This window comes from Homo sapiens, chromosome 6 (genome assembly GCF_000001405.40).
Source record: "Homo sapiens chromosome 6, GRCh38.p14 Primary Assembly".
Taxonomy (NCBI): domain Eukaryota; kingdom Metazoa; phylum Chordata; class Mammalia; order Primates; family Hominidae; genus Homo; species Homo sapiens.
The window spans coordinates 23,849,923-23,871,619 of NC_000006.12; the positions used below are offsets into that span (position 1 = coordinate 23,849,923).

At 40.1% G+C, this 21,697-nt stretch overlaps 2 pseudogenes; one reads left to right on the forward strand and one right to left on the reverse strand.

Moving 5' to 3' along the window:
• On the forward strand, positions 4,515–5,535 carry LOC100129616 (putative UPF0607 protein ENSP00000332738-like; annotated as a pseudogene).
• Positions 6,642–6,914, reverse strand: SPTLC1P2 (serine palmitoyltransferase long chain base subunit 1 pseudogene 2; annotated as a pseudogene).

A 21,697-nucleotide genomic window follows, 5' to 3' on the forward strand; every position in this document is an offset into this window, starting at 1 on the left:
AGTTATTAATCCATGCCTTGAAATTGTCTGCTTCTGATCTAAAACGAGGCCCTTGGCTTTTGAGAAAACAGAGATCAGAGAACATGCAAGAATTTGAAAGGTTTACTGTAGTGCCTGGGATTTACAATACCCATTATTTCCATACCTAAAAAAAAATCTTATTTATGGATTCTCAGTTATTTTCCAAGTGGTTCTAAATGATTAACATGAGTAGTTAGTGACCTCTAAATAAAAAGACTCCATGATGATGAGGAAAGAACAAAAAGGAAAGGACCGTGATGTGTATATTAGGAACTGAAAAGCCCTTTCAGACTAGCACTAAGGACGTATAAATACCCATCTCTCCAGCTGTATTCCCACACTGATATATAAAAATGAAATAAAACAATGGCCACCCAAACATTAGATTCTACTTCTAAAGATATGTAACTTAAAGTTCCTCCTCTGAGAGCTCTTCCTCTCATCCTATCATTTCACTGTTCTCCAAGCACATGAGCAAAAAGACAGCTCTTGGCAGGCCTTTGTAAATATGTTTCTCCCCATATATTACATCACCCTCCAGGATTTAGCCTGTCTTCAGGTTATAAGAAATATTCTTTGGTGGAATCCCTACAGGTATGGGAAGTAGAAAATTTTTAAAAAACTAAACTTTGAACTGATTCTGAGCAGAAAGGCCCTTCTTGAAATTCTAGAGTCACAAAGCAGTAAAATAATATCCATGCTCCCTGTATTCCAGGGATTAACATGGTACATAAAACACTGCCCAATGATTGGAGTGCATAGTTTTGCCTTCAGTTGTTAGTCTCTCATTTTAAGAAATGGTCAAAGTATATATTACTTTCCGGGCAAGAGTAGAATGTACCTAAAACTCAAAAAAGGAATTTGCCTACAAATATAAAATCTTTCATATTTGACAACCCAAGATTGCTTTAAAAGAACACTAGCTCCCCAAAGTGATTTTTATGCTTATTTAACTGTAGTTTGCAAACAGAAAAGGCACATGTTCTTCACAATGACAGAGCATAGCCCCAGCAAGAGGTCAAGGGCCAGGATTCAACTGAGATGTTCTGAGTCTACACACAGGGGGCTCAATTCTCCCTTCGGTTCATGAACTCATCATGGATTCCAAACTGGATCATAGCCAGTTTTTAATTGCACCCAAATGCAAATCCGATGGGAATGCTATGAAGAAGTCAAAAAGTGATAACGAAGCTCGCTGACCAGTGTAGTAGGGTGAGAAATATTAGATTAAATCTCAAATAACAGAGAGATTAGAGAATATGCAGGTAGTTGATAGGCTAGAAACTTAAAAAGTTCCCAGATTTTAGAAGTTAGTTTCACTAATACTTGAGAGACTTCAGTCATGTCTGACTGAGAACCTATTGCACATTGCAGCTAAATACTCTTTTTAGTAGTTAAAAGCAGCCTAATCTTTCTTGTCTCTTAGTTGCCTTAAAACATCCAAGCAATTTCCAATAATAAAAAAAAAAAAACTTAGCACTGAAGAAGCAAACTACCTCCCCCACTTTATCACAGCTTGCTCTCCCTATCAGAACATTATTGCTGGTATTATTCTGGAATTCTATCTTAGATAATATCTGATTGATGTAGTTCTTTTTATTGAAATACAGAGCACTGATTATAATATACAGATTTCCAAAACCACCTAGGTAATTATAGGCCTGCATAACAAACTCTGTTCTTTATCCTCTCCAAAGGAAGTTTCATTATCCCAGTATTATCTTGCACACAGAGAAAAATTTCCTGAAGGTGACCTTTCTATAGGTGGTAACCATAGTAACAGATTTCCAGTCGCTAACACTCTGACACCACTTGTGCACTGCAAATATTATAGGGATGCTGAGGATTGATGTTGAGGGTTACCCTCCAGAGACAGAAGCTGCATAAATACTTATCAATTTGAGAGAAAGATGTTAAAAGAAATTTAAAGCCATATTCCCTGCTCTCTTGCTAATCAGACAGGAATCTTCCTCCCCTCAAGATCTCAATAATATCTCACTTAGAGAATATCAAGGTAAAAATAAAAGATGTGGATCTTTAAGAGGAACATGGAAAAAGAAAATTTGTTCCTTACATTACTCTTAAGTAGGACATTCAATGGATCAGGGTGAAAGACAAACACTCATTTGGGAGTCTATTCTTTGCTTTGAAGTACTTATGGAGTCCCCATGAGCTATAATGGGAGTTACATGCTCTCATCAATGGAGAACTGGCTTGGCAGTGTAAATCTAGGCAACTGTGGTTTCAGCACTTAATTCAGAAAGAGAAAACTTTCGAGGTACTAGGAAAGTTGGAAGGTACATCTGCTAACTAGAAGTCAGTGAAGAAAATATCAGAAAAGAGAATGAAAGTAGCTGGTCATTACAGGCCATATGAAAATCTAAGTACTCTTGATCCTTAAGTGGTGATTACACATCTTTCATACATAAGTAAAACACTGCACAGAGTCTCTGCTTCCCCCTAAAAAGTGGGTTCACTTAGACAGCTTGTTTCCCTATTTTTAAGAGATTCATTCATATTTTTAATAAGTTCATCTTTGAGCTTGTTGTATACTATTTAAGAACACTGAAATGTCTCATGTCTTTTGAGACATTTATTGATGATGCCAAGTAAATTTGACATTTAATAAAGATCTCTTAAAACCCCAGTTGTTATTCCATTTTTTTGCTACCTCTATACTTCCTGTCTGGGTCTTATTTGGTTTTTGCACTCTCTCAATTTGTCTATATGTTGTCATTTCCATCCTTAAAATTTAGCACAATTCAAGTTTTGCCCATCCTATAATTTATCAAGCTATAACTTGCTTTCTAAACCTTGATCACTATTGTGTCACAGACACTCTGATTTTTTTTTTTTAACTTCTTGCCTTTTAATATTATCTTTGAATATAGATGGTTTCAATTCTCCAGTAACAAGATGTAGAGTGGCCAAATGGTTTTTCATACATGTTTCCCTAGTCCAGACACCCAAGAGTATGTCCCTTTCTTGGGCATAAGAAAACCTAGAGTTATATTTAGGGCATCATGTGTGGTGAATAGTTGACCGAGCTGGCATGCTCACAATGACCAAATTATGTTTGTCATATTTTAATCCAATACATTGATCTACTATGAACTTGTAAATAATGTATTTGCTTTCTAGACACATTCCAGGAAAACTAGAGAAACTGACTTTTATCCATATGGAATAATCCACTGGCCAATTTCTTTTAGGACAGACCAAAGCTGATCTAGGACATAATCTTTACATACTTGGATCCTTCACATCAGACGACAAAGAACATCTGGGGTGAAAGGCTCCATTAGAAGAGCAATGTGGGATGGTGCTGTGCTGACAACTGGTAGTCCCTACCCTACATCTTTGTAGAGGACTGGAGCCCAGAGTATGCCATGGTCAACTTGCATGTTGAAGTGAAGACCTCATTCGAGGTGTGCATGTGCTTATTACAGATATGCCACGGTGCTAAGTACCCCAGGACTACAGGAAAAAATAAGAATTGATGCTTTATCCATGATCATGAGGCACACAGGCCAGAGCGCCAACTGTGGAATTGCACAGCCTGGGTTCAAAGCCTGGCTGGGCCATGACCACCTGAATGACCTGAGGAATGGTCTCAGGCAAATTTGTAAAAAGTAGAGACCCTTCCTGCCAGGGCGGCATGTGGTAAGAGGCGCATCCAGTCAGGTCAGGGCACCGCGTCCTCTCTTTGGAAACCTGCGGAGCGAGGCTGGTGGCCCTTGAGGCCACGGCAGCCATGGAGAAGGCAGGCCTGGCTCCAGGCAGCACAGAGGCACTGGAGAGGCCCCGGGGGAGCCTGGCGGGATCTGGCTGGTCCTGCGCTCTGCTTCCAGGTTCTGGCCCTGTAACCCAGGGGACAGGGCCGGCCAAGACAGGGCCACTGGGTGCCAGCCAGCACCTGGGCCAGGCGCCAGGTGGAAGGGCTCTGGCGGATCAGCCCCGCACCCCTAATAGCCCCACAGGGGGGCCCATCCAGGGCCACACACCTGCCCCCAGGAGCAGGACGTCCCTGAGGCTAGAGTCCAGCTGGAGCGGTGGAAGGGTCTCACCCTTTGCCCTTTGACTCCTCTTGTAGGCACCCTCGCTGGGCTCCTTAGCACTCCTCCACACCCTGGCTCTGTCATCAGCCCCATAGTGATGTCATAAACTCCCAGATGCCCAGTGTGCACCCGGCCACAGAGAAGTGGGTGACTTAGGAGTATCCTCTCCACTTCTGACCCTTAGTTTCGTCTGTGCACAACTCGCTCAAAATGGGCAACTCATTAAGCGTATTTTGTTCCTGGTTCCGCCGCAGGTCCTGGCCACGCCATCGGCAACCTGCTCGTCTTGTCCGTGAGGCCTTCCCAGCTGGCCGGGCTCACCCCGCGGCTCCTGCACCCGTGCCTGCCCGGGGCATCTGGGGCCATTCCCCACTCCTCTTCAACCGTCAGCGACATCTTGGGCCTTCTTTTCCAGTCAGCTGGGACGGCGCCCTTATGAGGCTGTGTCTTATCCCTTGGAACACGGACACCCCACAGAGTCCTGCCTCCTGTAGTCTGGAGCGCCCCCTCAAGGAAGAAACCCGTGCTATCTGCTCGTAACTCCATGATGTTTGGACACCTCAGCCCCGTGAGGAACCCTCGTCTCAGAGGCAAGTTTAACCTTCAACTTCCTTCATTAGATGAGCAGGTGATCCCAACCAGGCTCCCGAAGATGGAGGTGAGGGCAGAAGAGCCCAAAGAAGCAACGGAGGTGAAAGACCAGGTAGAGACCCAGGGGCAGGAGGACAATAAAACGGGCCCCTGTAGCAATGGGAAAGCAGCCTCCACCTCTAGGCCCCTGGAGACTCAGGGAAACCTCACTTCCTCCTGGTACAATCCCAGGCCCTTGGAGGGAAATGTCCACCTCAAGAGCTTGACAGAAAAGAACCAGACTGACAAGGCCCAGGTGCATGCAGTGAGTTTCTACTCCAAGGGCCATGGAGTCACCAGTTCACACAGCCCTGCTGGAGGCATCCTTCCCTTTGGGAAGCCTGACCCACTTCCAGCAGTGCTCCCTGCCCCTGTTCCGGACTGCTCCCTGTGGCCAGAGAAGGCAGCCTTGAAGGTGCTGGGTAAAGACCACCTGCCTAGCTCTCCAGGCTTGCTGATGGTGGGGGAGGACATGCAGCCCAAGGATCCTGCAGCTCTTAGATCAAGTAGGTCTTCTCCACCCAGAGCTGCCGGCCACAGGCCCCGCAAAAGAAAACTGTCGGGGCCACCGCTGCAGCTGCAACAGACCCCTCCCCTGCAACTGAGGTGGGATAGAGACGAGGGGCCCCCACCAGCTAAGCTTCCATGTCTATCTCCTGAGGCACTGTTGGTGGGTAAGGCTTCCCAAAGAGAAGGACGCCTCCAGCAGGGCAACATGCGTAAGAACGTGAGAGTGTTAAGTAGAACATCAAAATTCAGGAGACTAAGACAGCTGCTTAGGAGGAGAAAGAAGAGATGGCAGGGCAGGCGTGGTGGCTCACGCCTGTAATCCAGCACTTTGGGAGGCCCAGGCGGATGGATCAGGAGGTCAAGAGATTAAGACCTGAGGAGCATCTCTGCCTGCACCATCTGGGAAGTGAGGAGCGCCTCTGCCCACCTGCTCCACCGTCTGGGAAGTGAGGAGCACCTCTGCCCAGCTGCCCCACCGTCTGGGCAGTGAAGAGCGCCTCTGCCCGGCCCCCGCCCTGTCTGGGAAGTGACGAGTGCCTCTGCCCAACCGCCTCACAGTCTGGGAAGTGAGAAGCGCCTCTACCCAGGCCCTGCCCCGTCTGGGCAGTGAGGAGTGCCTCTGCCCGGCCCCCTTACACTCTGGGAAGTGAGGAGCGCTTCTGCCTGGCCAGTGCCCTGTCTGGGAAGTGAGAAGCACCTCTGCCCAGCTGCCCACCATCTGGGAATTGAGGAGGAGCACTGCCTCTGCCCAGCCTCCACCCCATCTGGGAAGTGACAAGCAACTCTGCCCGGCCGCCTCACAGTATGGGAAGTGAGGAGCGCCTCTGCCCAGCTGCCGCCCTGTTTGGAAAGTAAGGAGCGCCTCTGCCTCACCGCCGTCCTGTCTGCAAAGTGAGGAGTGCCTCTGCCCGGCCTCCTCACCGTCTGGGAAATGAGGAGCGCCTCTGCCTGGCCACCGTCCCATCTGGGAAGTGAGGAGTGCTTCTGCCCAGCCGCCACCCTGTCTGGAAAGTGAGGAACACCTCTGCCCGGCCCCCTCACTGTTTGTAAGGGAGGAGCACCTCTGCCCAGCCCCTGCACCATCTGGGAAGTGAGGAGCGTCTCTGCCCAGCTGCTGTGCAACCTTCCAAGTGTGAAGTGACGGCCTTGTGTGTGATCTTTCTGCCCTCCCCAAGTTTGCATTTTCGACATTAAAGTTTACTTTTTAGTTAAAAAAAGGAGATCGAGACCATTCTGGCCAACATGGTGAAACTCCGTCTCTACTGAAAATACAAAAATTAGGCGGGCACAGTGGCTTGTGCCTGTAGTCCCAGCTACTCGGGAGGCTGAGGCAGGAGAATGGCTTGAACCCAGGAGGTGGAGGTTGTAGTGAGCCGAGATCACACCACTGCACTCCAGCCTGGTGACAGAGCAAGACTCCATCCTGAAACGATGTTGTAGTTGAGAGCATGATGGTCTTTTGGGACAGGAGGAACAAGAGGTTCTGGTTGCCACTCTTCAATCAGTTCTTCTTTTTCCTTGACTGTAAGGTCAGATCTTTCTTGTAATTTGTAAGTCTTAAAGAAGTCTGATTATCCAGAGTATCAGAATCCCTTCCAAAATAAGATGGTAAGCAGGAGCCTCGTAAAGCGCCTGTACCATCTCCACCAGAACCCACTGCTCCGTGGCAGTCGCCATAGTTAGCCGCTTCCTTCCATACGCTGTCTCATTTCTATCTCACTGTTCAGCTTAGCTGCTGTCCAGACAAATGTTTCTCAAAATTTGAGTCACCTATAGACCCAAGCAAAGGGAAGAAAAAAGAAAAAGACAAAAGAAAAATCTATGCATTTTAGTTTGTGAGATGCTGGTGTAAGGACTGTAAGCCCCATTCGAGGACAATGTCTTGTAAATTTTTAATTATCTCAGCAAAAAAAATTAGAAGTTTTATGTTTTGGAATGGCAAAATAACTGAGATTAATATCACAATGGAGTTCAAATTTTCAAATTCTCATAAAACATATCAACATCCAAGAATATACCTACAGATATACCTGTCTTTGGATCTCAATGTGAGAAACAATAAACCAGGATAAATAGAAGTGTGGGGCCAAGATCAAGAGGAGGGCACAGTAACCTCTGGGTGTTAAGTAGAAAGGACAAACGGCCAATGAGAAAAGGATGGAGATAGCACAAAACTGGGAAGATCTACGATTGTAATCTCATGCCTGTCTCTTGACATGCTTGTATTTTTATGTTACAAACCATCTTTCAACTTTCTTTTATTCTCATTCAAATGTTTTCAGTGTTTATTCAGCACTTATTTCAGTGAGAACATGTATTTAATCTGGCATTCACTTATTCAATTAATTTTTATTGAGGGCCAACTGTGTGCCTGGCTAGGAGTAGAGGGTACAACCATGAAGAAGACAAAAAATCAAAACAGACACAGGGTTTTCTTTTATGGATCCAGTGGGAGAGAAACATATCAGAAAGACAATAAAACAAAAAAAAATGTTTTCTTAAAGAGCATATTTAATTGGTATTAAAAGAAACATTAAAGGAACAATGGGAATATGAGATGCAGGAAACCTAGCCTTGATTCAGGTTTCCTTGAGTCAGGGAATGCTTTCTTGAGGACGTGACATTTATGCATACACTTGAGGGGGTAAATAAGACAGTTGTAAGATTAGAAAAGAAGGGAAGCTTCCCAAGACATAAAATGTTCTATTATAAAGACACATGCATGGGTATGTTCACTGCAGCATTATTTACGATAGCCAAAACATAGAATCAACCTAAATGCCCAACAATAATAGACTGGATAAAGAAAATGTGGCACATATACACCATGGAATACTATGCAGCCATAAAAAAGGATGAGATCATGTCCTTTGCAGGAACATGGATGAAGCTGGAAGCCATTATCCTTAGTAAAGTAACAGAAACAAAAAAACCAATACCGCATGTCCTCATTTTTAAGTGGAAGCTAAATGATAAGAACACATGAACGCACAGAGAGGAACACACACTAGGGCCTATCAGAGGGTGGAAGAGGGAAAAGATCAGGAAAAATCACTAGTGGGTACTAGGCTTAATGCCTGGGTGATGAAATAATCTGTACACCAAACCCCCATGACACAAGTTTACCTATATAACAAACCTGCACATGTACCCCTGAACTTATTTTTTTAAAAAAGAAATGTCAAGAAAGCCAACTGGATCAGAATGTGATGAGCAGAAACAGAAGCACAGGCAAATTTTAAAAGAAGACAGAGGCAAGAGGCAGGGTCCTGTGGGTCCCAATACAGAGTTTTCAAATTATCCTAACTGCAATGGGGAAGTGGATTAAGTCTTTTAACTGGTGAAGACCAGATCAAACTTGGGTTCCAGGAAGGCCCCTTGGCTTCTATGTAGGGTGTTGACATTCAAGGACATCTACCAAGTGGCGCCAAAGTTCCCTCTTAGACTACCTCCCATGTACATAACACCTTTCCCTGGTTGACTACCACTAACTAAACATCCCCAAACCTCCTGCCTCTGTGCCTTTGCACATACTTATTCCCTGCCTATAATGCCTCTTTCCCATTCTCTCCTATTCATAGTCCAGTCATGATTTAGGACCTGTCGCCAGCATGCTTTTCTTCATAAATTCCTTCCATTTGGGTTGACTTTCGCTCTTCTTTTGATTCTCTCTCCTCTTATTCTATGGCACTTTTATATTCTGTTATGTTTTATAATTATTATGTACTTATCTCATTATACAGCTTTTTGAATAGGACGCGATGGCATTTGTGCATCCTCTAGAGCATCTTAGATGTATATTTATACATAAACTCAGATTCACTCAATGTAAAAGAACTTGTTTCTGTCTTTTATGAAGTTTGTTTTACCCTAATTCCTGGTTTTCTGAAGCCTTGTGCCTTTTTATTTTTTTTTTCCCCAAGATGGAGTTTCACTCTTGTTGCCCAGGCTGGAGTTCAACAGTGTGATCTCGGCTCACTGCAACTTCTGCCTCCCAGGTTCAAGTGATTCTCCTGCCTCAGCCTCCGGAGTAGCTAGGATTACAGGTGCCCACCACCATGTCCGGCTAATTTTTTTGTATTTTTAGTAGAGACGGGGTTTCACCATGGCTGGTCTCGAACTTCTGACCTCAGGTAATCCACCCGCCTCAGCCTCCCAAAGTGCTGGGATTACAGGGGTGAGCCCCAGGCCAGCCTCGTGCTTTTAAGTTACTTTGAAACTGTCATCTTCCCCTTCTTGTAATCCCAAATGTCTTCTTCAATCAACTTTAATGACCTCATTTCAAAATACTTTGGGTTTTTGTTATCGTTATTGTTCATTTGCCTAATAGGCCTTCTCTCAGTTTCCTCAGATATCCTGTGTATGTGCCGAACTAATGTCATTTCTGACATTCTTTGCTAGAGACCCTAATTCTGTCCTCCTGACTTCCATCCCTCTAAGATGTCTCTTGTCCACTGGAGCAGCTCCTCTGTGGAGGTGGTATCCTACCTCACCACTTGTCACCACCCATATCCTGTCTTACCGTGTGCGTGAGTCTCCCACTCCTATTTCACTTACACTCCCTTTGAGCTTTCCAATTAATCAGACATCATTTTTGCCAAGGCTACTCTTTATCTTCTCGCTTTTTCTTCTGAATCTCCCTTCTAATTTTTCACCCTATTCCCCTTTTCTCTCAATCATTTACTTCACTATTAAATGTCGCTAATGTTCCAATTTTTAAAACTTAGGGAAATTTACCACTTTATCACTAAAAACAACAACAAAAAAATGCTTCTTGACATAGCTTGGTAGAATTAGGGTTAGTGTACAGAGAAATCTTTCCATTTAGCCTCTGAGTCCCTTCAATTCTGAGGCTTTAACTGCTTAGCCCAATGGGGATGATGCCATATAATCCTTTACATCTGATCTATGAAGAAGGCCAAATGTCTTTCTGAAGTCACGCCATGATTTCAGGTAGTTGTCACTGCCCAGTTCCGAGAGTTTGGTTTGGAACTCATAACTGCTACCACAATCATACAAAGACGGAGAAAAAGTACTCTCTCCAATGGCTTCCCTTTACTGAATTATGAAAACTGAATGTTTATCCTGGCTTCAATGACAAAAGGGAGAACCATCAGAATCTTGCAATACTTGAGAGAGTTAGAAATTCATCACAAAATAAAATTTGACATTTCACTTCTGGAAAAATGAAATAGATATATTTTCCTTATTTATCCCACTAGGTACAACTAAAACTTTAGACATGATATATATAAAACTAACATTTTTGAAAAACCCTCAAAGTTGGAGAAAAGAAAGCCTGACTGGCTATAGAACTTGGGACCGAAGGAACAACAACAAAAAAAAATCTGTAAAAGTATCAAACTTCTAGCAAGACTGAAAACAAAACATAAATTACAAAAATTGGGAGTGAAACAGGAGCTATCACTATAGACACAAGAGACTACAAAGGAATAGTAAAAATACCAATAACTCTCTCTATATAAATTTGATATCTTAGATGTAATGAACCAATTCCTCAAACACAAACTATCACAATTTACTTAATATAAAATAGTTCATTTCAATAGCCCTATAACTAATAAGGAAATTACATAAATAATTTTGAAACTCCTAAAAAAGACACTACCAAGCCCAGATGGTTTCACTGGATACTTCTTTGTAAAGCATAACACTAATTCTACACAATCTCTTCCACATAGAAGAGGGAATACTCCCCAGTTCATTATATGAACCTAGAATTTCTGTACCCCATAATGAGACAAAATACAAAAAGTGAAAATGATAAACCAATAGCCTTCAAGAATATAGGCGCAATATTTTTAACCAAAAAATATCAAATAGACTTTGTAACATATATATAGAAAAATATACACTAGAGCTAAGAGTGGTTTATTCCAGACATGTAAGGTTAGCTTAATATTTGAAACAAATCAGTGAAATCCACTATATTAACAAAATAAAGGGTAAAATTCATGAGATTGATCAATACAGAAAAGGCATTTAATAAAATTCAGCACTTATTCATGATAAAAACTCTCAAAAAACGGAAACACCCTTAGCTTGATAAAGATCACTTCCAAAAGAAAAAAAAAAACATCTAATAGTAACATTATTCTTTTTTTTTTTTTTTTTTTTTTTGAGATAGAGTCTTGCTCTGTCACCCAGGCTGGAGTGCAGCGGTGCTATTTTGTCTCACTGCAATCTCTCCTCCCCTGGGTTCAAGTGATTCTCCTGCCTCAGCCTCCCCAGTAGCTGGGATTCAGGCATGTACCACCACACCCGACTAATTTTTGTATTTTTAGTAGAGATGGGGTTTCGCCATGTTGGCCAGGCTGGTCTCGAACTCCTAACCTCAGGTGATCTGCCCGTCTCAGCCTCCCAAAGTTCTGAGATGACAGGCATGAGCCACCCCGCCTGGCCAATAACATTATTCTTAATGAGGAAAAACTTAAGCCCTTACCCAAATAGAGAATAAAGCAAGGATGTCCATTCTCATCACACTTATTCAATAGTGCTGAAAGGGAAGGAGATTAAGATGGCAGATAGGAGGCAGTACTAGCTTGCAGCTCCCACTCGGATGAACAGAACAGCATGTGGAGACTCATATAGTGAACTTTGGCTCCAAGAACTACCACAGGAACATACACCAGGAAAGCTAAGAGAATCCACAGACCCTTTGAAGGAAGTGGATCACCAGTACAGTTCCTTGAGATGCCAAAAAACTGAATTTGCTTGTTTTCTCAATGGGGAGGTTCATGGTCTGGGGTAAGTTCTCAACTCTGGGCACCAGTTGCCTGGAAATAGACTCAGTGCTGTTGTGGGGGCACAGTGGGAGTTCCTCTAGGACTGCAGGCTGGGTGGGAGTGGGGTGAGGCCTGTGACTGCTGGAATTCCCCCATTTTCCTGGCTACCTGTATGACTCAGCAGAGGCAACCATAATCTCCCTGGGAATATAACTCTAATAGACTGGGAACCACATTCCCATCCTCCACAGCAGCCACAACAAGTCCAGCTCATGAAGCGGCTGAGCTCGGACACCCCTATCCCTGTTCCCACCTGATGGTCTTTCTCAACCCGCCCTGATAGCTGACGACAAAGGTCATAATGTCTTGGGAGCTCTATGGCCCTGCCTGAGAAACCTGAATGCTTAACCAGGTATCCCTAGAGCAAGTTTGCATTCTCCTTACAGGACCGTAACTGATGCACTCTTGAAAGCACCACCTCCTGGCTAGAGGGCAACCAACACAAAACCAGTGCACTAGACAAAAAACAACCAAAGACCTTCACAGGGTCCACTTCACTCCCCTGCTACCTCCACCAGAGCAGGTGCTGGTATCCACAGCTGCAAGACCTGAAGACAGATCACATCACAGGACTCCTTGCAGACCCTTCCCAGTACCAGCTCAGAGCCCAGTAGTTCTGCTGGGTGGCTAGACCCAGAAGAGCATAAACAATCACTACAGTTCAGCTCTCAGGAAACCCCATTCCTAGAGGAAAACGGAGAACATTGCATCAAGGAAGGACCCTGTGGGACAAAAGAATCCTAACAGCAGCCCTTGAATTCCAGATCTTCCCTCTGACATAGTCTACCCAAGTGAGAATGAACCAGAAAAACAACTCTGGTAATATGACAAAACAAGGTTCTTTAACATCCCCAAAAGATCGTACTAGCTCACCAGCAATGGATCAAAATCAAGACAAAATCTCTGAATTGCCAGAAAAAGAATTCAGAAGGTCAATTATTAAGCTAATCAAGTAGTCACTAGAGAAAGGTAAAGTTCAAATTAAAGAATCAAAAACATGATACAGGATATGAAAGGAAAATGCTTCAGTAAAATAGAATAAAAAACAATCATAACTTCTGGAAATCAAGGACACACTTAGAGAAATGCAAAATCCACTGGAAAGTCTCAGCAATAGAATTGAACAAGCAGAAGAAAGTACTTCAGAGCTCAAAGAGAAGGTTTTCAAATTAACCCAATCTGTCAAAGACAAAAAGGAAAGAATTTCAAAAAAAATAAAGCCTCCAAGATGTTTGGGACTATTTTAAAATGTCCAAACCTAAGAATGGTGTTCCTGAGGAAGAAGATAAATCTAAAAGTTCAGAAAACATATTTGAGAATATAATCAAGGAAAACTTATCTGGACTTGCTAGAGATCTAGATCTCCAAATACAAGAAGCTCAAAGAACACCTGGGAATTCATCACATAAAGATCATTGCCTAGGCACATAGTCATCAGGTTATCTAAAGTCAAGATGAAGGAAAGAATCTTAAGAGCTGTGAGGCAAAAGGTAGAGGTAAACTATAAAGAGAAACCTATCAGAGTAACAGAGTTCTCAGCAGAAACCCCACAAGATAGAAGAGACTGGGGACTTATTTTTAGCCTCCTTAAACAATTACCAGCCAAGAATTTTGTATACAGTGAAACTAAGCTTCATAAGTCAAGAAAAGATAGTCTTTTCCAGACAGACAAATACTGAAAGAATTCACAACTACCAAGCCAATACTACCAACACTGCTAAAAGGAGCTCTAAATCTTGAAAGAAATCCTTGAAATATACCAAAATAGAACCTCCTTAAAGCATACATCTCACAGGACCTATAAATCAATAACACAATGGAAAAAAAGGTATTCAGGCAACAAATAGCACAATGAATAGAATAGTACCTCACATCTCAATACTCACATTGAATGTAAATGGCCTAAACACTCCACTTAAAAGATGCTTAATGGCAGAATTGATAAAAACTCACCAACCAAGTTTCTGCTGTCTTTAGGAGACTCACTTAACACATAAGGACTCACATAAGCTTAAGGTAAAGGGGTGGAAAAGATATTCCATGCAAATGGACACAGAAAGTGAGCAGGAGTAGCTATTCTTGTATCAGACAAAACTTCAAAGCAACAGCGGTTTAAAAAGACAAAGAGGGATATTATATAATGACAAAAGGACTAGTCCAACAGGAAAATATCACAGTTCTAAGTATGTATGCCCCTAACACTGAAGCTTTCAAATTTATAAAGCAGTTACTACTGGGCCTAAGCAATGAGAGAGACAGCAACACAATAATAGCGGGGGATTTTAATACTCCACTGACAGCACTAAACACATCATCAAGAAAGAAAGTCAATAAAGAAACAATGAACCTAAGCTATACCCTACAACAAATGGAATGAAGATTTATTTACGAAACATTCTACCCAACAACTGCAGAATATACATTCTATTCATCAGCACATGGAACACTCTCTAAGACAGGCCATATGATAGGCCACAAAATGAGTCTCAGTAAATTTAAGAAAATTAAAATTATATCCAGTACTCTCTCAGACCACAGTGGAATAAAATTGGACATCAATTCCAAAAGAAACCCTCAAAAACATGCAAATACATGGAAATTAAATGCCTGTTCCTGAATAATTGTTGGGTCAACAATGAAATCAAGACAGAAATTTAAAAATTACTTGAACTGAATGATAATAGTGACACAACTTATCAAAACCTCTAGGATATATCAAAAGCGGTGCCAAGAGGAAAGTTAACTGCATTAAATGCCTACATCAAAAAGTAGGCACAAATAGACAATCTAAGGTCACACCTCACAGAACTGGAGAAACAAGAGCAATCAAAACCCAGCATAAGAAAAAAAGAATGACAATCAGAGCAGAACTAAATGAAATTAAAAACATACAAAAGAAATGAATCAAAAAGCTAGTTCTCTGAAAAAAATAAATAAAATTTATAGACTATAATCAAGAATAACCAGGAAAGGAGAAAAGATCCAAATAAGCTCAAATAGAAATGAAATGGGAGCCATTACTACTGATACCACAGAAATACAAAAGATTATTCAAGGATACTACAAACACCTTCAAGTGCAAAAACTAGAAAACCTAAAGGAGATGGATAAATTCCTGGGAATATACAACCCTTCTAGATTAAACCAGGAAGATATAGAATCTCTGAACAGACCAATAACAAGCAGTGAGATTGAAATGTTAATTCAAAAATTACCAGCAACAAAAAAAGACCAGGACCAGATAGATTCACAGTTGAATTCTATCAGTCATTCAAAAAAGAATTGGTACCAATCCTACTGACACCATTCCACAAGATAAAGAGGAAATCCTCCCTAAATCATTCTATGAAGCTAGTATCACCCTAATACCAAAACCAGAGAATGACATAACAAGTGAAGAAAACTAGGCTGGGTGCAGTAGCTCATGCCTGTAATCCCAGCACTTTGGGAGGCCAAGGTGGGCGGATCACAAGGTCAGGAGTTCAAGACCAGCCTGGCCAACATAGTGAAACCCCGTCTCCACTAAAGTACAAAAAAAAAATTTGCTAGGCCTGGTGGCAGGTGCCTGTAGTCCCAGCTACTTGGGAGGCTGAGGCAGGAGAATCACTTGAACCAGGGAGGCAGAGGTTGCAGTGAGCTGAGATCACGCCACTGCACTCCAGCCTGGGTGACACAGTGAGACTCTGTCTCAAAAAAAAAAAAAAAGAAAGAAAAAAACAAAGCTACAGACCAATACCCCTGATGAACATAGATGCAAAACTCCTCAGCAAAATACTAGAAAACTGAATCCAACAGCATATCAAGAAAGATAAGCCACCGTGATCAAGTGTGTTTCATACCAGGGATGCAGGCATGGTTTAACATATGTAAGTCAGTAATTGTCATAGACTGCATAAACAGAATTAAAAACAAAAATTACAGTCATCTCAATAGACACAGAAAAAGCATTTGACAATATCCAGCATCCCTACATGATTAAAACCCTCAGCAAACTTGGCATAGAAGGGGCATACCTTAACATAATACAAGTCATCTATGACAAACCCACAGCCAACATTATACTGAATGGGGAGAAGTTGAAAGCATTGCCCCTGAAAACTGGAACAATACAAGGATGCCCACTCTCACTACTTCTATTCAACATACTATACTGGGAGTCCTAGCCAGAGCAATTATGGAAGAGAAAGAAATAAAGGGCATCCAAATTGCTAAAGAGGTAGTCAAACTCACTGTTTGCTGATGTTATGATCATATACCTAAAAAATCCTAAAGACTCATCCAAAAAGCTCCTAGAACTAGTAAATGAATTCAGCAAAGTTTCTGGATACAAAATTAATGTACACAAATCAGTAGCTCTGCTATACACCAAAAGCAATGAAGCTGCAAATCAAATCAAGAACTCAGTCCCTTCCACAATAGATACAAAAAAATAAAGTAAAATACTTAGGAATATACTTAACTAAGGATGTGAAGAACCACTATGCGGAAAACTACAAAACACTACTGAAAGAAGTCACAGACAACACAAACAAATGGAAACACATTCTATGCTCATGGATGGGTAGAATCAGTACTGTGAAAATGACCATACTGCCAAAAGCAATCTACAAATTCAATGCAATTCTCATCAACACACCACCATCATTTTTCACAGAACTAAAAAAAATCCTAAAATTCATATGGAACCAAAAAAGAACCCACATAGCCAAAGCAAGACTAAGCAAAAAGAACAACTCTGGAGACAACACATTCCCTGACCTCAAACTATACTGTAAGGCCACAATCACCCAAACAGCATGGCTCTAGTATAAAAATAGGCACATAGACCAATGGAACAGAGTAGAGAACCCAGAAATACTTACAGCCAACTGATCTTTGACAAAGCAAACAAAAACATGAAGTGGGGAAATGACACCCTATTCAACAAAAGATGCTGGGATAATTGGCAAGCCACCTGTAGAAGAATGAAACTGGATCCTCGTCTCTCATCTTATACAAAAATCAACTCAAAATTGATCGAAGACTTAAATATAAGACCTGAAACCATAAAGATTCCAGAAGATAATATCAGAAAAATCCTTTTAGACATTGACTTAGGCAAAGACTTCATGACCACTAATCCAAAAGCAAATGCAACAAAAACAAACAGATGAAACTTAATCTAAAAAGCTCTCCCACAGCAAAAGAAATCAGCAGAGTTAGATGACCCACAGAGTGGGAGAAAATGCTCACAATCTATGTATCCAACAAAAGGCTAATATCCAGAAGCTCCAAAGAACTCAAATCAGCAAGAAAAAACAAACAATCCCATCAAAAAGTGGGTTAAGGACACCATTAACATCATTAATTATCAGGGAACGCGAATCAATTGCTCAACATCATTAATTACCAGGGAATGCGAATCAAAACCGTGATGCAATACCACCTCATTCCTGCAAGAATTCTCATAATAAAAAAAAATTAAAAAAAATAGATGTTGGCTTGGATGAGGTGAAAAGGGAACACTTTTAAATTGTCAGTGGGAATGTAAACTAGTACAACCACTATGAAAAACAGTGTGGAGATTCCTTAAAAAACTAAAAGTAGATCTACAATTTGATATAGCAATGTCACTCTTGGGTATCTACCCATAGGAAAATAAGTCATTACACGAAAAAGATACTTGCACAGGCATGTTTATAGCAGCATGATTTGTAATTGCAAACATGAAACTAGCCCAAATCCCCATCAAATAATGAGTGGATAAAGAAAATGTGGTATATGCATACCATGGAATATGACTCGGCCATTAAAAAAGAATGAAATAATGGCATTCACAGCAACCTGGATAGAATTGGAGACTATTATTCTAAGTGAAGTAATGCAGGAATCGAAAACCAAACATCACACGTTCTCACTGATATGTGGGAGCTAAGCTACGGGGATGCAAAGGCATAAGAATGACACATTGGACTTTGGGGACTTGGGGGAAAGTGTGCAGGGTGGCGAGGGATAGAAGACTACACACTGGGTATAGTGTAGTCTGCTTGCGTGATGGATGCACCAAAATCTCAGAATTCACCACTAAAGAACGTATTCACGTAACTAAACACCACCTGTTCCCCAAAAACCTATTGAAATAAAAAAATAAAATTAAAAATTTCAAAACAAAAATAGTTATATGCAAAAAAAAATAGTGTTCTAAGCTCTAGACAGCCCAGTAAGGCAAGAAAAGGAAATGAAAGGTATACCAATTGGAAAAAAAAAAAAAGATAAAACTGACTTTATTTGCAGATAACAATTGCCTCCATAAAAGATACCAACGAAAAACTTCTAGAATTAGTAAGTTTAATAAGATCACAGGAGATGAAATAAACATACAAAAATCAATGAAATTTCAGTATACTAGTATAAACACATGGACACAAAAGTTAAAAACGTACTGCCAAGTAGTAATTTAAAAATTAAATACTTAGTTGTAACTAATAAAAATGTAGACTGTTTACATGCTAATAATTACACTGCATTGATGAAAGCTATTATAGTCTAAAATGGAGAGGCTTACCATGTTCGTGGATTGTTAAGACTTAATATAAAAAATATTTTCTTTCTAAATTGATAAACAAGCTTTAGGCAATTCATATATAAATGACAGTAACATTTTTGTAGAAATAGACAAAATTAAAAATTTATGTGGAAAAATAGAGGAACAAGAATAGCTAAAACAAATGTGAAAAAGGATAAAGTGGGAAAAATCAGTGTGTCAGATTTAAAGATTTCCTATACCATTATAGCAATTGAAAGATTATGTGGCATTGGCAGAAAAAGAGACACATAGACCAGCGGAACAGAATAAAAACCCATAAATACCACCATCAAATATGTATGACTTATTTTTGACAAATCCACAAATACAATTCAAGGGAGAAAATGTAGCCTTTTCAAAAAATGATGCTTTAGCAATTGGCTATTCAGAGACATAAAAATCAAATCTTTGCCTAAGTCTCACATCTCATACACAAATTAACTCAAAATAGCCTACAAACAAATATAAAACTTTAAGATGAAAACACAGGATAAAATCTTTGGGATCTAGGCTAAGCAAAGCATTCTTAAACTCTTTTGAAAACAGAACCACGATCTAATAAACTGGACTTTGTCAACATGAAAAGCTTTTTCTCTAAAAAAGAACCTGTTGAGACAAAATGACAAGCTACAGGCTACGAGAAAATATTTGCAAACCACATATTTGACAAAGGATTCGCATCTAGAGTATATAAAGAATTCTGAAAACTCAACAATTTTAAGAAATTGTTAGAATGTGGGCAGAAGACATGAAGTTATATTTACTGAATATATACAGATAGAAAACACACTGAAAGATGTTCAATATCACTGGCCATTAGGGGAATGCAAATTAAAATTCTAATTTGATACCAATACACACTACTAGAGTGACTACAATGAAAAATAATGACAAAAACAAATGCTTGCAAGGCAATGGAGAAATACATAAATTGTTGGTAAGAATGTAAAATAGTACAGTCCCTCTGGAAAACAGTTTGGCAGTTTGTTAAAAACTAAGCAAGTGATATCACACAACCAAGCAATTGCACTCCTAGGCATTTATCCCAGAGAAATGATAACTTATGTTCACATAAAAACCTAGACACAGATATTTATATCAGCATTATTTCTAATAGCCCCAAACTGGAAACAACCCAGATGTCCCTCAATGGATAATTAAACGATGGTACATCTATACCATGGAATAACGTTTAGCAATAAAATGGAAGTAATTACTAATACATGTAGTAACCTGGATTAATGTTTGGAAAATTATGCTGTGTGGGGAAAAAAGCCCATCCCAAAAGTTTAAATATTATATGATTCTTGAATCATGTAAGATTTTTATAACATTCTTGAAGTGGAAAATGATGGAAATTGACAACAGATTAGTGTTTGCTAGTGGTTAAGAAAGGATTAGATGTGGGAAATAGGTAGATGTGGCTATAAAAGGGAAACAGGGGCTGGGTGCAGTGGTTCACGCCTGTAATCTCAGCACTTTGGGAGGCCGAGGCAGGCAGATCACCTGAGGCCAGGAGTTCGAGACCAGCCTGGCCAACATGGTGAAACCCTGTCTCTACTAAAAATGCAAAAATTATCTGGGCATGGTAGCAGGCACCTGTAATCCCAGCTACTCAGGAGGCTGAGGCAGGAGAATCGCTTGAACCCAGGAGGCAGATGTTGCAGTGAGCCGAGATCACGCCACTGCACTTCAGCCTGGGCAACAGAGTGAGACTCCGTCTCAAAATAAAACAAACCTTTAAAAGGATGTTTTTTCCTTGATCCGAATTTTGTGGGGGAAAATTTTTTTAAACACCTGTAAATCTAATACTTAAACTATTTGAGAAAGAATCCTATTTTATGATCTATGCAAGGATAAAGGGCTTCTCAAAGCAACAAAACACTATGACACTATGTTATTAGGTAACTGTCCCAAAACACCTCTTTCATTTTGATCTTCATTATCTGTTTTTCCACTTTTAACACCTCAGTGAGAAACATTTATCTGGACCCATATGCCTGCTCATATGGAGATTTTAGGAAGAAAAAGATTTAAAAAAAAAAAAAAAAGTCTATGTCAATTCAGTATCATATCTTCAATCCCCAAACACCATCTTCTTTAGAAAGCTTATTAGCTTATTATTTTTCATGAAAGCTGAAAGCACATTATGGAGCTATCTATTGTCAGCTAAGAATTTCCACCAGATTTTGACTTTGGAGGCCTAAGAGTTACCATAGTTACTAATTAACTCCTGTGTCCTGAATGCATTAGACACAGCAGAGAGACTGTTTACATTATGTAAAGTACTTTTGTTCTAAATAAATTAAGAGAATATGCTAGATGCATTAAATCTTATTGCAAAATACCATCAACTCATCTTTCATTAAATTCTTTATTGAAGATTTTGAATCTAAGCCCCAGAATTAACACAGATTTAACTTCTACCTTTGACTAGCTTAGCCTAAAACACAGCTAAAATATTGCCTGTCTTTGTTGTTTTAAAATGTCAAATTGTCATAACCACAACTTATGCTTTTCTGAACCCAGAGTCATGTTCCTAGATAATTAAATATCAAAGTAGTTACTATTAAAAATATTTAAACATAAGTTATATTTTCTAAATTATTTTATTGAAACTATTTTAAAACCTATATGAAAATTATAATAGTACATTTTTCTAAAAGGCAACTTGTAGTTTCTAGCTGTATAGTATTTAAGACAATATGAAACAATGAAGCTTGTATTTTTTCTAATCTTTATCTATTGAATTTTCACATCAATTTATCTGAAATCATAAAATTAATTTGTTTTTTGAATTTTACCTGTGTAGAAATTTGAAATGTTCATATGTATAGTATAAAAATAGTTGCCAGAAATAAAAATACAAAGAATTTTTTATCCTTGGAATAGTTATTCCAGTTTCTTAGGTTAAAAACCTAAGAAAAAAATCCTAGATAAACAAATAACTGTTGAAGAGGAAATAATTTTACGTTAATTTTTGCCCACATCTTATCCAGATTTGGTTAATAAATTGTCCAAATAATCATATGTTTTAATCATATGGCTGTAATGTAAGTCAGAAAAAAATAAAAATGGATTAATGGTTTAGTTCCTGATATGTATCT